Here is an 18,011-nt window from a genome sequence, read left to right as displayed (position 1 = left end):
TGTACCAAGAGAAGAATGTTTGGTAATGTGGACAGCTGGGAAAAAGTACTTGATTATTTGGGATTGTTATTGAATAGAGTTTCCTTCTTCATGCTTCAGCCCTGGATGTTTCAATGTGAGGGACCCCAGTGGATAATAAATGCAGAGTCTCTTCTGCATTCAAACTGCTATTTCCAAGCTTGGGAAAGCTGATTAAATAGCGCCCAGGTTATCAGCTCAGGTTTTTTACTTTTGCCTTTTTCATTCTTCATTTGGTTTAAAGCTTGCTGGAGTTCTTTTCTGGAATAATTACCATGGAAAGGGAAAAGATATTACGTGGAAGCCTAGAACAGAGATTACGCCTGGGAAAGATCAGTAACAGGTGGGGCTTATGAATTGGGAGTGAAAAGAAATTGAAACCTTATGTAGTTGTGAAACCATAACTAAGTGGTTTTTAAAAACTTTCCAAAGAGAGGCAAAATATATGCCTTGGCTAACATGTCAGCAGAAGCTGGAGCCAGAAAAACCAAGAACTAGGTGTGAATTCCACAGAAAAATTACATCACTTCGAGCACACTGTAGCCTTGAATTTATATTTTGACTCCATTGGTCAAGACACTACTTTGCAGCTCATTCCTTTCCCTACTCAAAGAGTCAGGTTATAGCATTTGCACTATTTTAATTCATATTTTATTGACTGCCTTTACTACTTATTACAACAAATCCATCTATTTCATTAAAGAATTAAAGAAGGTTGTGTTTAGTAAACAGTCTTAAACTCTGCGTTAGTCTTTTTGCTATACCTCCCTTATTTTCTTTTAAGGGTTTGGTCCATGGCCCAGTACTGTTATATTAGGTAGTCTTTTCCAGTTTTTGTGCTACCCCAAATTACTCCATTTCTATCTTGCACCATCCAGTGCAGAATATACGTACCCACCACTGAAGGTGTTTTTGCATGTGTTAGGCTTTTATTGTAATTTTACTATTGATAAAGACCTGCAAGGTCATGACAAAGACCTTTGCACTGTCAATATATCCAAGGTTGCCTCTCTAGTGCTAAATAGGCATCTAAGAGAAGGGGACTTTTGGAGAAATAAAAGTAATAAATCTATGTCTTGGTTTGCACTTTGATATAAATTTCTTGGGTGTATAGAAATCCCGTGTTTGTAAAGTTCCTGTATATTTCAGATCACTTCTGGAATTAGCATAAAGCAGTAATTATGATTTGCCACTAAAAAGTAGGGTAAAAAGAAACCCTTACCTCCCAGGCCAGTAATCAATGGGCTAGCTCCTCTCTAGCAGGGCTTAGGCCAGGAGAGGCAAGTGAGTTATGTAGGGTGTGTCTCAGGGTCATGCCTCTAAATTTTGCACTCTAGGTGCCTCTTTCTCTTCCTCCTGATTGCTGGGTGAGGGCTGAGGTTGAGTTGCGATGGGATGTGATTGCAGGTCTTCTCCACGGGCAAGCAGGTGCTTCGTAGGACATCCTGCAGAGCATGAGGCTGGGTTCAGTCTATCTGGCTTCTGGTTCTGGCCTCTTGGGGAATTAAACCAGCTGTGTGTTGTTAGAGACATCCCTTGGACACTCTTTTTGTTCATTCTCTAAAATGTAACATTTATGTACCCCATTCTACCAGCTAACTTGAGAATCAAATTAGTCAGCACTGGAGTCCAGGGCACAGTGTACATTTATATACCCCGTTCTCTCTACCAGCTAACTTGAGAATCAAATTAGTCAGCACTGGAGTCCAGGTGTCCAGGGCACAGTGTACATTGAGGAGAAAGCAGCAGTTCATTGAGAAGCTCAAGGTCATAGAAAAAAATCCTTGTGGGAGCCAGAAAGTAAAACTCCAGCTCAATGCTCTCTTTCATGTAGGCACTTGCTATTTTATCTTTATAGAAATGAACACCCGCTGAGAGTTTTTTTCGTCTTCTGTAGATTTATGAAACCTGTGGGGAGGTTGAGTCTTAGAACAACTGACTTATCTTTTGCCAATGATAGAAACGCCACTGTTTGTTTCTAAATGCAGTTGTTACTTCTGAATTCCAGCCTTCTAGGTTTTTCCTTTCCTTGAAACTACTCAGCATGTCTGAAGCATCACCTTCTTTTGTTCTCCCTTCCAGGGCTCTTCCTTCTCTGAAGCTTTCAGATGTTTAAACTTCAGTTTTGCAGTTTTTTGTTTTTTTTTTTTTTGATCTATCTATCTCAGATTGACATTGGGTTGTATTTTGCCCTCAGGTACTTAAAGATAGCTCCACTTTTCTAATTCTGATTACAAGATTTTTATTCAGCAGATTCATTGGTTGGAGATATTTTGCTATTTCTCAGGGGGAGAGCATTGTGCTTTTCCTTATAGTTAGATGTCAGTGGGGTAGGCTAGCATTTATCATTATGAAATCAATAGCTGTTTGGTTGCCAGAGCTCAACTCTCTGGTGAGAAATAATTCACCCGAGCTATGTCACCTTAGCTATGGCAGGCAGGTTACCGCCAGCCAGCATAGGCTGGTGGAGCAAGTAGAGAATTAATTACACTTTCTTGTACATTATTACTCTTCAATATGCATATGGTCTTTTAACAACCTGAAATAAAAGCATCCTACAGGCATTTTGGACATGTCCTATTTGATATTTGGAAATTAATTATTTAGAACGGTTTCATTTTTCCTGATGTTACTTCTGCATTTATTTTTACAGAGTTAAAAAAAGAGCTCCCAATAAAACTCTCCTGACAAAAGGAAAAAAATTACCACATTTGAGGGAATATATCAAGTGAAGTGTGAAGGCATGACTACTCTTTTAATGTATTCATACCTACAAATTACTAAGATTTTTTTTTGGTACAATAATGTCCTTTAGCACCTTCATTTTTCTGGCAAGAAAAAGAATTAATTGACCACCTGTCCTCACTAATGTATGAAGAGCGACATATCCAATGTTTGCATGCTAATTATTTTATGGGCTTCATGTAGTATAGAGAAGGCCCAATAATGTAAAGCACACACTACTATTTATCAATAAGAAATAGACCAGACTTAATTCCATATTCATCTATTAGCCTCACTCATGCCATAGCTGAGTAAAGTAGTTTGTCTATTATTACTTTTGTTCTTAGGATTTTAGCCACATTCTTGGGTGTTTCAGTCTTGTGTTCAGTATTAAACAAGATTGGTCAAGTGTCTGATCAGCACTTATAACTCATTGTTTGCTCTAGGAAATAATTAGATTCCTCTCTAGCCTGTGATTGCAATCTTTGAGATAGAGTCTTGCCCTCTCCTTAGAGGGTTTCAAGTCAGCAGTGGACTAGATTCTAAGTTTCCATTAATACTAAGTCTTATGAGGAGCATCAGGAGAAACTTTACTTTTCTCAATGGGATGGAAAACAACAGCCTCCGGTGTCCTAGTTTGTTCCATGTGCCAGGCTCTGTGCTAAGCCCTCTACATATATTATTAACCCATTTTTGTCTAGCACGAGCAGATGGAGTAGGCATTATTGGCATGATCCCTTTAAAGAGTAGGAAATTGAGGCTTGGAGAGTGTATATTATTTGTTCAAGATTCCATAGCTGTAACTGGAATACTTGACGTTCAATCCTGGTTTCTCTGACCCCAAAGTGAATGTTCTCAACCACTATGCTAAGGAGCTCAATTAAATTACTTTTTTATGCAATAATGTCCCAAAGATTGTGCTCAGCCATACTTTCATCTACCTTTGATAATAAGCAATGCTTTTTTTGTGCTATGTTTTCATGTCTCCCCCTTCCCCACTGTCCCTTTGAATTCAGTGTCATTACTCTATGAAGAAGGCAGCCTCTTTTCTTGGGATTGGCACTGAGAATGTTTGCTTTGTGGAAACAGATGGAAGGTAATGGGAACAGGATCTGGAAGCCTGGTGGGTGGAGGGAAAAGTTTATATGGTTTATAAAGCAGTATCATTATCTGTTAATTACTAAACATAACTGAAAGTCTCAAATCTTTGTCCCTTAGAGGTAAAATGATACCTGAGGAACTGGAGAAGCAAGTCTGGCAAGCCAGAAAAGAGGTGAGAGGGGAGAAAGCGAGAGGGAGAGAGAACGTGTGTGTGTGCGCGCACGCCCGCGCGCTTATGAAAGAGAGGGAATAGCAAGGAGAGAATGCAAACAGCCAAAACCATTTCTATGTGTGGGAGAGAGGAGAGAGAATGTTGGAATTAAAATAGGAAAACTCATTTACAGATGTTCTATTTCCAAGTGCTTGGCTCTCCATGTTCTGTGGAGTTTCCCGGATATTCTTGTTCCCAGGTGGCTGGAGACTATTAAAACACTGAAATCACCCGTATTCAGGATTCTTGGCTAGAAGCAGCTCTAAGGATCAATCCAGCCTCTCCAGCAGGGCCCTAGCCTCTCCTCTCCTTATAATTCCTCCCTCTGAGAAATCTGCAGGACAAACCAATTTTCTCTGGGCTGTATTCAGGGTGATTTTTGATTTCTTGACCAACCTATTCTCCCAGGTTGCTTCCAATCCCAAACCCATCTATTACTATCAACCCCTGTTGGGTCTGTATCTAGTAGTTCAGTGACAGAACATCCTTTCTTCCTTAGCTGCTAGAATATATTAGAACTGAAATATTGGAGAAGGCAAGGCATGGCTCTGGGCACCTGCTGTGCTCCAGCCAAGGCTGGCCTTAACACCTGCATTTTAAAAAGGGGTGTCATTAGGCCGGGCGCGGTGGCTCACGCCTGTAATCCCAGCACTTTGGGAGGCTGAGGCGGGCAGATTATGAGGTCAGGAGATCTAGCCCATCCTGGCTAATACAGTGAAACCCCGTCACTACCAACAATATCAAAATATTCGCCGGGCGTGGTGGTGCATGCCTGTAATCCCAGCTAGTCGGGAGACTGAGGCAGGAGAATCGCTTGAATCCAGGAGGCAGAAGTTGCAGTGAGCTGAAATCGCACCACTGCACTCCAGCCTGAGAGACAGAGTAAGACTCCATCTCAAAAAAAAAAAAAAAGGTGTATCATTATTTTGGTCTCAGCCATTTTGCTTTTTGGACCAAAAGCCTGCTAGATTTGCTGCTTCTCTCCCATCCCACCGCTGCCTGCTGATGGAGCTTCAGACCGTTCTCCAATAACCTTCCAATAGGTAGCAACAAAGGCAGGCATGACTACTGAAAAATAAAAAGCCTGGCTCCTGAGCTGGGATACAAGTGTATCTATCCTCATAGGAGTTCATACTTTAACAAGGATGGGTTTTTTAATGTTTTTAAGTTTGAATATTATAGTTCTGTTGTTGTACTTTTTTTTTTCAAGTTTTCATAAAAACTACCTAGTCCTGGAGAATGCTAGATCACAATATTTGGCTTGAACTTCTGTATTTAAAATTTCTGCCATTATTGCAGATGTATTGACTTCAGGTGTGTGTCCTACTTTTTTTTTTTTTTTTTTTTTAAACATTCCAATGACAAGTGAACTTTATTGTTATCTGGTGGTTTGCATGATCAGATTTCTTTGACTCTGGTATAATTCTGAGTAACAACTTGTAAGTTCGTTCTGCTGAGAACCACAGATATTGTTTTCTAGTTTTAGTTTCATTTCTTTTTACATAAATTCCTATCAAAAATAATTTGCATTATGTTGTTAATGCTTGTTGGTGGGGAATATTAATTGTGTCATGATTGTCTTTCTTCCCTCCCTCATTTCTCCTTCCTTCCTCCCTTTCTCCATTCCCTATTCCCCACTTCTTAAATTTTAAACTTCTCATTACAAAAAATTGTAAATGTTTCCTAAAAAACCAAAACACACAAAAACCAAGAGACTAATATCATGAGGCTTCATATACCCATTCTGTAATCAGCAGTCATTAGGCTCATGCTCCTATTTCATCTGTACCACATACCCTCATACCACCACTAGATAGGTTTGAAGCAAACCCCAGACATAATACCATTTGATCTATAAATAGTTGAGTATATTTATGAAGGATACGTACTTGCTTAAACAACATACCATAGTTTTGTTTAAAATATAATTTTTAATATCAAATCTTCAGTGTATATTAAAATTTCCCCATTGCCCTTTTAAAAAAAATAGTTGACTTGTCTGAATCAAGGATTCAAATAAAGTTCACAAATTGCATTTGGTTGATACGTCAAATGTAAATGTTTTCTGATCTATAGCTTCCTCCTCCTCCTCTTTCCCCCCACTACCATTGATTTGTTGAAAAGATCAGGTCTTTTGTCCCATATAGCTTTCCACATTATAGATTTTTGTGGATTACATCAAGAATTTGAGACCCTAAGTGCTCACCTCCTCTGCACCATCCGGTTTGTTCTTTATATTTTCTGTAATTTGGCAGTTAGATCTTGAGACTCAATGAGATTTAAGTTGTATTTTTCTTTTTTTAAAACCAGGGAGGCTTCATTGGCTCCTGCCATCAGGAGACATCCTGTGTCTCTTTTGTAATAACATTGATTGGTGGGGTCTGGTATCGTCAGTCCATCCATCACAATACCCTCCACTCCATCAGCTTCTCACTTAGTGGTTTTTGCTGCCATTGATGATCATTGTCTAGACCCATTATTTCATTAAGTGATGTCCTAATTCCTTCTCTCCTTCCTTCTTTATTGTCAGGCATTCTACTATAAAGAAAAATATTCCTCCTCATTTTGTTTCCCTAAGGAAACACTGCACAGGCAAGACAGGATAAACGTCTTATTCTTTCCCCTTATTTATCAATTTTTAAAATAGTGAGTTTGTTGCCTAGCATCCCCTAAAGATAATCCCCATTTTTTTTTAGTGTCATTAGGAATTCATGTTTCTAGCATAGAGGGTTTTATTCCACCACAGTCATTATCATTTTTGTCGCTCAAATTTTTGTTTTGACAGTGAAAGTACATGAAACGGACATAATACTAAAGTTGAGAACTCAAAAAAGTAAGTTTTTGAAAAGTAAAAATTGCTTTAGGCACATTTAAAAGTAGGGCAATGGGGTTAGAGTTAGTACGTCTCCTCAGTTTTCTTTCAAGTCAGCTAATACTTGAGCCTGGATTCACCAAGGACAAACCTTGCATCCATTCTGAGATAATAATACATGATGACTGGTTCATTTTTTCTCAGTAGCTTCAGGCCTAGTTGTTTTGTTTCAAGCTTTTAACTTATGTTGTTTCAGATATGAGGAATAGTACCATCAACTATTTTTTCTGCTGGGATTCAACTCCCTGGCCTATGACAATCCATTGAAAAACTGTTGCAGTGACCTTGTCTTGATGTCATTACATAGATGGTGAAAAACACAAAGCATCAGAGGTCCTAAAGGGCTTACTGACAAGCTCAAACTAGGATGAACATTGAATATTTAGAGACATTTTGTTAGAGTTGTGTTAGAAATGACAAATTTTCTTAGACAATACAGCTCACTGGCAGCATGCCATCAATACTGTTTCTACTGAATTCTCATTAACAGCAGGAGATATGGGGAAGAAAGTCTAGGTTAAATCCAGATCGCAAAAGTTTAATTTCTGGTCCTGTATTTTTAATGAGATCTTTTTTTAAAGGTGAGGAAAACTCATTAATAGGCTATAATAGCTTGCAAATGTATTTTCTCATGACTGTCAGGATGTCATATAGTTTATGAGGAAAAGCGCAACCATTAAAGACAACTTAAATGGTTTTAGTAAATTATTTTTCTATTGCTTTTAATGATTTTAATGATTGGTGTAAAGCTGGTCTTATGTCCTTTAGGTCACTGGTATGATAAAGCCATAGTTGTCAGTAGTTTGAATACAGGGAAGAAGTTTCAAAGCCTCTGGTTTCTCCAGGGCTCTGTCACCTACTGACTTGGCTCTAAAAGTTTTGGGTAGATGGGATTGATTCTATTTGCCACAGCTGTCTCCCAAGATGGCAAATGGATTTGTTATATACCACCACTTTGATCCGTATGCATCTCAGTTTAGAGAGGCGAACCACATATTCTTGCTCTGCCCCACTTTCCATTGAGAAATAACATCTTTCTGTCAAAAGTCGGTTAAATTGGAAAGAGTTGGTTCAAACACAATAATCCCTGGCATTAAAGGACATAAAAATGTATTGCAATGAGCATGCACTTTATAAAACTGAGGGGAAAAAATGGCTCCATGCTAAATGGAGAAAAAAATAACTTTTAGAGGCACTAAACTTTCAGAGGCAGTAAATATTCTTGTCTATTTCTCAGGTGCTCTAGAATCTTAATATTCTACTTGCTCCCCTCACCCCCACATTTGTCTGCAAACTTCACCTACACAGCGAGCAACACATCTCTACCACCATCCTGGAGCAATCCATTTGGAAACAATCTCATGTACTCTTCATCTATCTGATTGGCATAGAGTCCTTTAATGGGGACAAAGCATGTGACTAGCTTGACCGAGATAACCATTCATCTGTTTGTGTGCACCCACATTCTCCCTTTTCTTCTCTATTTCCCACCAGTACCCGTTCATGCCACAAGATGCAGTCATCAGCTATATGAGGAGGAATAACCATGATAGAAGTGACACAGATTTTCTTTTCCAGCACATGCCAATGGATTTCTCTGTTGCAGCACCTATTTTGGAGAATGTATCCCAGTGAGGTTGCCTTATCTCCTCTGATGCTGAATTTGTACCTGAGAATATTCTACATTCTTTGTTTTATAACTGCACTTACTTTACAAGGAGATGAGCAAACAGGCCTGCATGGTTTACTCCGGGAGCTCTGTCTTCCAACCTTTTTTTTTTTTTGAGAAGATGACAATGATGGCACAATGGAGGCTAAATGTATTTTTTCAGGAAGAAATTAGGAGTCATACAAAATGTCAGTTTGCTGTTGCAGCTGAAGTTATTAAATTTCTATCTGGACAATTGATAGAACAAAACATTACAAAAAACATGAGAATAATACTGAAGATGTACTGAGTTGGGACAGAAAATGCTATTGCCATAGCATTTTCTGTTTCCTTAATCTGTTTATAATGCCAAGAGGCCACATATTCACAAAATTTAAAAACACCCATTGAATTAATGACTACCTCCAAAAAACCCAAATAACTCTCTGGATGCATAACCCTTTATATTTTCCAGCTATTACAGGACAAATTTAGTGATGACAGTGATAATTTTGTGTGTGTGGATCCTTCTTACAGGGGGCAGCACCGTTTCTTGTCTGTGCCACTTCTGGTACAACTGTGTTGGGAGCTTTTGACCCTCTGGATGAAATAGCAGACATCTGCGAGAGGCACAGCCTCTGGCTTCATGTAGATGTAAGTTCATTTATGTGTACATACCTGTTTAACCTTTGGTCTTTTTGTAGCCTTGGTAGAAATTTTTCTTATTCTCAGAAACTAGATGTGGAGTCCCCAACGCTTTTGTTTGTGTCTCAAATTGGGGGAAATAAGTATGCCACTTTCTTGTAAAGTATAAATGAGAAGATTCCACGACTTTGTGTATATTTTGTTTTAGCTTTCTGGATTCCATTTTGCTTCTTTTACTCCCATGAGCCATCTTTGGTCCTCAAATCTACTGTCATTGAAGCAGCCTGGTGTAAGGCACCCATTTTAGGTTAGGGAGCCGAGAGACTTTGGTTTGAAATTCTGATCTGCCTCTTCTTCATTGCGATCTTAGCCTTTTGGATTTCAATTTCTTCATTTGTAAAGAGGGGGGATGGTAGATGTGGGCTGTAAGGTATCTTTCTAGCTCTAAAATTATGATTCCAAACAGCTGGAAAATGCAAAAAAGCTACAATGCATAATTGCATGCTATAACTAAAGCAAATTTTCTCTGGATCTATCAGATAGTTATTTGAGGGGGGTTGGGATAATATACTCCATTATTTTCTAGCAAAGGATTGGCTTTTTAAAAGAATTTTTGTAAGTCCTGCGGTTATTCAAAATACATATTTCCTTAAATCGAAGGTAACTTTAAAAATTCTACTTATCCCGGGTTAGAATGCTGAATTCAGCCAACTATGAACACTTGTGGAGCTTTTTAATTTTCTTTTTTAAAATTAATTTTTTTTGTGTGAAACCAGCAGTTAATTAGTTTGATTCTAACCAAAGAGACAATTGCACATGGTGTTTTGGGAGCTTTCCTCTGGTAAGTGATAGTTTCAGATCCTCCTTGGCAGAAGAAATATTTTTTGACTTGCTGAACAAAAGGAAACAGCATTTGGGGGGATATACCCACATAATTTTGTAGTTTAGATGATTTTATGCTTTCAAAGTGTTTATTTCAATCAAATCATATCACCTAGTAGAGTGTCTGTGATATGATTCAAAGTTTACATTAACTGAATACTAACATTTGTAAAAGCAACAGTAGTATAAAGTTTACTAGAGTTATTGCTTCTATTAGTATGCCAATGGCAATACTTGAGGTAGATTATCCGTGACTCGTTAACGGGATTTTAGCATTTGTATCTGTTCATATTTCAACTTATATCTTATTGATTTTTATAGACTTAGAAGCATAACAATACATTATATCCTAAAAGATAATATGAAGTGAGCATTTTTGTAACTGTGGAAATAAGGGGGAAAATCAAATACATCAGCAGTTCTACCTAAATATTGTACTCTCATAAAAGAAACATCACATATGGATTATATAGTTTATGTAGTTTGTATAAAATGGAGAAAAGTAAATAGTTTATGTAAAACAGTCACCACAGCAGCTTTTAAATTGGGAATGACATTAAGAGATTTATGGGGCTTAGAGAAAATTGTGATTTATGAATGAAAAGCTCTTCAGGTTTTCTAAAAATTAAAGGTTGAGTCTTTGAAGAAAACATCTTTATAAGGGAATGTAAACCACACCAAATTATCCTATTTGTGCATAGTATACATCTGGCAAATGCCTATAGTATTAGATTAAATTTGACACAAGCCTATCTGGCTTATTAAAGACATGTTTACCCATCCTTTAGTATTGTGGGTGTCAAATCAATAAAATATTACTACAGGAACATGTAGCTTATCTTGAAGAAACTTCATATGCCATAGGTACTTTATTAAAGAAAATATTAACAAATTGCAATAATTGCTTTGACCTGTTTGAAATCTTCTAGAGTATTTTAAAGCTTCTTTCAAATATTAAACTGATGTTTATCTCTTTTTAAAAATAAAAAGACATTTACTTGTTCTTCTGGGTTTTCAGTAAAACCATGCTGCTCTGCATACATACCATGTTTTATTAATTCTAAGATGCACTTACTTAAAAAAATTTTAACTCTGAAATTGATATTTTGATGTCAATTTTTATTAGTAGTACACAAAAAATGGGGGTGCTTACATTTGATACTGTCTTCAATTTGGTAATATAATGCGTTTTTTAAACAACCGAATAAGAAAAACTAGTTTTATTAGACTCTTTCACTCCAGTACTGTTCTCTTCCTTCATGAGGGCAATTGTTATGCTAGTTTCTGTCTGAGAACAAAACGTCGGGCTGGTCTAGCTCTTCTTCAAAATCAGAGGTTGTAGCTGCTGGAAAGCCTCTCATTCCCAACAAAGCTTCCTATTCTCTCACCCATTCCTCATTCCAAGTGCCATAGAAGGCACAAACGTATTTAAAATCATGGCCTTTAGAGGCTGCCAAATCTCAATTCCATTCTTACCTTCACTTCCCTTTCAAGATTGGTTCTACTATTAATTTATTAACTAATTAAAGACAAATATATATAAAATGATATACTGTGGTGCCTCACATATAGTAATAGCTTAATAAATGACAGTCTTTATTGAGATGGAAAGCCAAACTCCATCATTTAGGTGATAGGTTTGATAATTTCACAGTTTCTGGAGTTAGGAATTAGAGTGCAGCAAATTAAAGTAGGGCATTTACATCAGGGGTGTTTTTTTTTTTTTAAGGAATAAATTTATGGATGAGCTGTTCCTAACCCTGCCAAAGTACTTTGTGAAGTGGTGAACTAATGCCTTGGAAGGGTTCCTGTGATTTCAAAACTTAAATCCAGTTCACTAGAATTGGGAGATTATTTACCTTTTTGGAGAAGCAGTGGAGGCAGAGGCTAGCTCAGGGAGCATGAAGGAGTAGAAGTGTAGGGTATGAGGCAGGTGGAAAGTGTGAGCGAGCAAACAGGTGTGGCTGACTGGACTAATTAATCCTTCCTGTAGTTGTCACTGATAGGTTCTCAGAGAGGTTGGGGGATAAGAGAAGTGAGAAAAGTAGGTAATTTAGGATTTAGAATATGTAATGAAAGTCAAGAAAAATGTGATATGTAACACATCTTAATATTTGCAAGGACCAAGTTCTCAAAATCCAGATCTGGAGATCCTCAGTTGTAGGCTGGGGATAAAATTTTCCTAGATGCTGAGGGCATTTGCCTTTGTGGCTCAGCCTGAGTCACACGTGGTCCATTGTGAATCCAAGTAAGGGAGGAAATGCAGCAGGAAGGGAATTTGACTGATAATGCCAAGTTACTAACTCTTTACCTGGGAATCCTTGGGATTTGAACACCCAACACCCTTGAAACACATCAGAGCTCGCAGGCCTCTGGGGACCCCATGGAGTTGATGGAGCCTTTAGTCCATGGGACAAGGCTGGTGCTAATATGAGGCCAGTGGGGTTGGCAGGGCTCAAATTTTAAGAAGCATTCACTCTTAGGGCCTTGCAAGAGTCCAGCTCTGAGATGAGTTCTTCCTTGAATTATGCACCCTGACTCATTCACTTCACCCTAGTCTCAGCTGTCAATGAAAGTTGTTTTTAAGTGGGATTTAAGGCCACAAAGTTGCTTGTGCTGTACTTTCTTGTTATTGGCTACCAATGGGCCCAAATTTTGTAATACTCTGAGGATCGTGGAGATACTTCATTTTCTTTATCTTCCATATCTGTGGTGCAGCCAACCATGCCACTTCTTTTTACATGATATTAAGGTCTACCTATGCCTTTAAATTCCATAGCCAAAAATAGAAGTTGCTACATCCTAAGCAACCCCTGAACTTACCTATTGCCTAAAGCATCTCTGTCACCCTCATTCTACATGCTATACTCCCCAGTTTGGCCAAATTGTCACCTTCCTTAAGTAATGATGTTAACATGACAGGAGAATGGGCTTTGAATCTCAGATCTGATTTTTGTCATTGGCGAGACCTTGGACAATTTACCTGAACACCTCTGAACTTTATAAAAAGTGGAAGTGATCATAACTCCATTCCTAATGGAATGCTGTAAGGTTTAAATCAACTTGGAAAGCATTCAATACAGCCCAAGCTAGTCCCTTCAAATTCTCTCAATACAGTTATCCTTTAATGTCCTACAAATTAAAATTTATGTCTGCACCATTTTCAAGAAGCATACTGACTTTTGTATTTCTTACATCAATTTTTCTCCCTTTGCTCCAGACCTGTTGACTATGGGATTTTATCTGAGCTCCCCTCTCCTTTGCTCACAAAATTTACTTCTCCAGTGGATAACTTCCTTTTGTCCCAAGCTTGCCCTCTCTCTCATTTGTAGATATTTCTGAAAGCCATTTAGCTAAAATGATCTAATTTTTCATTAACAGATATTTCCGCCTAGCTCATCCTAGTTGGCCTTCTATCTACCTTGTCAATAATATGCCTCATTCATTATATAAAATACTAGTCCTTAGCCCATGTCTCATCATACACTGAATAGCAAAATGTTAGCATTGTGAAGATGTTGTCTATGTTAGAGTCTAAGCTTCAAGAGGGCATGGACTTTGAACCTCTTCCATCCACACATAGCTCAGTTGGTTAATATACCAATTTATGATGCATGAATTTATAATTCTAAGGGTCAGTGAGGGCCCATCTATTGTGATGAGGTTCTGGTTGCCTGAGTAGAGCCAGTGATCAGAATTTCCTGGGGTACAAATTAGTTAACATGACATAAAATATCAAATAATGCAGATTGAGGTCCTCACTGAGGGTTTTCTATGACAACCCACTGGTAAACAAATAACATTGAAATAACATTGTTCTGGTACTGTAAATATCTCAACAGGCTTCTTGGGGTGGCTCAGCTTTGATGTCGAGGAAGCACCGCAAGCTTCTGCATGGCATCCACAGGTAAATGTAGTTTCCTGGTGTACAGCCAACTTTTGTCAGGCAAAGGGATCTCTTTGGACTAAGTGATATTTTGAAAATAGGAAAAAACAAAGTAATTGTTTTCCTTAAATAAACAACAACAAAAAATCCCTCCAAATTCCTTAAACCACTCAGATAAGGAGTTCTATAGAACAGTAAACTATGTATGAGTACTGAATGCAGATATTGATAATGATAGTATTCCATTGCCTGTAGAAACTAATTGAGTCCTCTCCCTACTCTGTCCCTTTGTTTAAACAATAGGGCTGACTCTGTGGCCTGGAACCCACACAAGATGCTGATGGCTGGGATCCAGTGCTGTGCTCTCCTTGTGAAAGACAAATCTGTAAGTTTTCCTCTTGTGGTCCTTTGGGCTTCAAGGGGGTTAAGCCACTGTGCTTGCCAAGGGCTTCATTTTTGCTCATCTCTTGGTGACTTGGGCGAGGCGTAAATTGAAGGTGTTTGGGAAATGTGTTGATGGTCTCTACATGAAAGACAAATAAGCCTAGATAAAATATTTAGTGATTCTGCTCAGGTAATTTTGTGGATTTGATTTAGGTATTATATAATCTCATTAGTTACAGCAAAATGGTCTCTCTCTCACCATCATTTGGATTATATTTTAAAACTCAGTTTTAAACATTGCCAAGATTTTTTTCTCCTTGATTAAGTCTGGGATTTAAGTTATCTTGAAACTTCTGCTCACTGAGAAAGTGGAACAGATGTGTGTCATACATTAAATTGAATACTTAATACGCTTAGCTAGGGCTTAACAGCCCGTTTATATGGGAAGACATTTGTTCAGGGCTGATCTTCGAACACTAATTTATTAGGGGATTGCTCATCCCAAGTGGTTGGTACTTAGCTTCTTTTGGAATGCTAGGGAGAGTTGGAAACTGTCTGGATCACTGTGAGGCAAGTGGAAAAAAAGTTGAGGCTCCTCTTGGCCGGAGGTATAAACTCTGTGTTTTCCATGGGTTAAATAAGGATCCTTGTGGGAAGTGGCCCAGGCTGGGAAGTGCTACTTCATTCTTAGAAATGCCTCCTCAAGATCTGTGTTCAGCATGTGGGTGATCTTTCTCAGCCATCTGTTTACATTTTTTTCTTAGGGGACTCCCTTTGCCAATGTTAAAGTCATTTTCTGTTTTTAAGGAATTTTATTTGAAATGAAAACTATTTTTAAAACTTGAAACCTAGTCTTGCATGTGTAGCTATTTACAACTTTTTAAAGAAATTGTGATATTTATGTTAGTGCCCTGTGCGTTTTGACATGATCAGACTGTCCATCAGAAACTAGGAACAGGTTTTGCTTCTATAGAAATAGACACTACCAGAAATATGAATCAGTTCCTTAATGTTTTATTAGGTTGGATAGAGTTGAATGTATTCAATACCATTTAATTTTTAAATTTAAGTTTCAAAATTGTGGTATGACTATTTGTAACTAAAAGGTAGTTTAAGATTACCATATTGATTGTGAACCAAAGAACGTAATCAACTTGCCCATAGGTACACATTTAGGATGGGACAGAGATAGGAATAAACCCAAGTTTTCTTTTGGTCTAGGTATAAGAACAAAAATGTATCAAGCATCCTTTATGAGTGAGGTATTTTACATTTGCTTTCTACCTAAATCGGCCAATCTGACAAACTTATCTGTTGGTGTGATATGCTAAGGAGTGGAGAACTTAGACTAAAAATTTTATGACTACTCTTAAGTAACTTTCTAGCTTTCATATACTTTTCTTATTAACTGATATTTGAGTAATTTAGACAACAACTGAATTACATTTCTGTACTTGAGGCAATTTAAATTTTTCTGGATCATATAACTCCTTAACAGGGTTTTTTTTTTTTTTAAAGAATTCATTCCTGAATCTTAGTGACAATAAAACCCATGTCTATTTTCATGGCATGAATTAAGAGGTTAGGGGAATTCTATTCACTGTGCAAAGAACTGAGCACTTTCAAAAAGTTGCCAATTTTTTTTTTAATGAAAAGACCGTTTTCAATTTAAATGGAATAGGAAAGCTAAACCATGAGATATGAGATGTGGCAATCAGTTTAAGTTTTGTGTTGGCAGTTTTCTATCTCTTTTGTACCTGGTTTCTGCCTCTGTTACTCTCTTCCATATCATTAATTCATTCCATCAATCAGCATAAATGATCTGTGTAGGCTTGACACTGTGCGAGTCTAGGCTCTTATAGCATTGAATCAGACAGACATATTCCCCAGAGTCAAAGAGTTTATAATCTCACAGGGAAGACAATGAACAAAATGCAGATATTTAATTTTTTAACTGCTGTTTTGATAAGTGCACTAACAAATGTCAGACTCTGTTGATTGTAAAAATCAACAGGCATTCCAGCCTCCTTCTCTTCTTGCCTATCTCCCAATATTCACCTAACTAGCCTCCCCTGCAGTTTCTATGACATAGTTATGTCTAATGTGATGTAGGGAAATGTGGTGAGGACCTTGAGAATAATTTTATACGAGAGCATTCTTCTCGCATTTTTCTACCTTGAATGCAGTTGCATCAGACATGATATACGGGTTGTTACCATAAGGCAATTACCCTAAATTTAAAAAATTAATATGCACAGAATGACAGAAACAAAGGGAAAGTCTTGGTTTGGGGTAATTTTGAAATGTTGCACCCCCAAAACGTGACTCCTTTCAGACTTTGCGATATCAAGTGGTTAAAATTAAATGTTCTTACTACTGAAACCATCTCCATTGGGTAATCTGTTAGTTGCAGCCAAATGCACCCTTGTCTAATACAGAGAAGAGTATAGTACTTCAGTAATACACAGCAGGTGATGTCTCAGGTGGAAGGAACATCATGTGAAAATTCTTTAAGAAAGGAACGCCCTTTTTAAAAAAAATTATTTTAGAAACTGAAAAAAGCGTATTTTGGCTGAGGCATAGAGAATAATGTGAAGATTGACATAATATGAGACTAAAGGATTAAGCAGTGGGTAGATCATGAAGGGTCTTAGAGACCATTGTGATGATTTTAGACTTGATCTTTAGAACAACAGAAGAACTAAAAGAGTTATTGGAAAAAATTTTCATTTAGGACAATGAATTGGAGGGGAACAAGAATAGATGGAAGACTAAGAAAAAGGCTTGCAGTATCTATGCCAGAGTTGATGGCAAGAGAGATGGGAAAATGTGAAATTCACTATACATTTTAGCTATCAATTAGACAGGGCTCAATTATCAATTATTATCAATTATCAATTATGGGAGATGAGAGAGAAGCAGGTGTCATGTAATCATCCTGATTACTGATACAGCAACTGAACGAATGATTCCATTTAGGAAGATGAAGATCACTGGAGGAAAGAGTTGAGAGTGAAACACCTTTTAGTGCTGCTCATAGTAAATTTGAGGTTCTTAAGAGGTATATTCAAGTGAGGAAGTCACATAGGAAGTTGGCATATGGACCCAAATCTAAGAAAAGAAGTCTGGACTGGTAAAGTCTATTACAGAATTGTTAACACATAGATGATATCTGAGGTCATAGGAATGGGTTATAGATGCCTTGGGAGGATCTTTGGAATTAGAAGAAAATAAGGCCTAGAACTTAGCCCTGAAAAACTTTAGCATTGAGAGATTAGATAGAGGAGGAAGGATTCCCCATGAAGGCTGAGTCAGAATGGCCAGGGAGATGGTGGGAAGACCAGAAAGAGTGATGCTAACCAGACAGGGAAGAACATGTAAGAAAGAAAAAGTCATCTCTTTTCCTTACCCCAATTTGCAAGGTTCATGGCTGACTTCCCCATAACGAAAGACATTGACAAAAGAAAAGCATAACAAACTTATTTAACCAAAATTTTTTGTGAAACAAGAACCTTCAGAGATGAAGATCCAAAGGCCCAGGGAAAACTATATTTTTCTGGACAATCATGCAGAAGTATGGTCATAAGCTGGCAGGGGGGGACTTTGCAGGGCCTGTTTGTCCAGTCTTCTCGACTTCCAG

At 37.7% G+C, this 18,011-nt stretch overlaps 1 protein-coding gene across 3 annotated transcripts in view; it reads left to right on the top strand.

Annotated features, from left to right (window-relative positions):
- GADL1 (glutamate decarboxylase like 1) overlaps positions 1-18,011 on the top strand; it is a 168,465-nt gene that overhangs the window by 46,437 nt on the left and 104,017 nt on the right. For all 3 annotated transcript variants that reach the window (NM_207359.3, XM_017006297.2, XM_047448071.1), the window contains exons 7-11: positions 3,759-3,838; positions 3,961-4,015; positions 9,112-9,228; positions 13,944-14,008; positions 14,291-14,372. In NM_207359.3, coding sequence (NP_997242.2) covers positions 3,759-3,838; positions 3,961-4,015; positions 9,112-9,228; positions 13,944-14,008; positions 14,291-14,372 — 399 coding nt within the window. The remainder of the gene's footprint in view (positions 1-3,758; positions 3,839-3,960; positions 4,016-9,111; positions 9,229-13,943; positions 14,009-14,290; positions 14,373-18,011) is intronic.

The sequence above is a fragment of the Homo sapiens genome, chromosome 3 (genome assembly GCF_000001405.40).
Source record: "Homo sapiens chromosome 3, GRCh38.p14 Primary Assembly".
Classification (NCBI taxonomy): Eukaryota; Metazoa; Chordata; class Mammalia; order Primates; family Hominidae; genus Homo; species Homo sapiens.
This window is presented reverse-complemented; position numbering and strand designations above follow the sequence as displayed.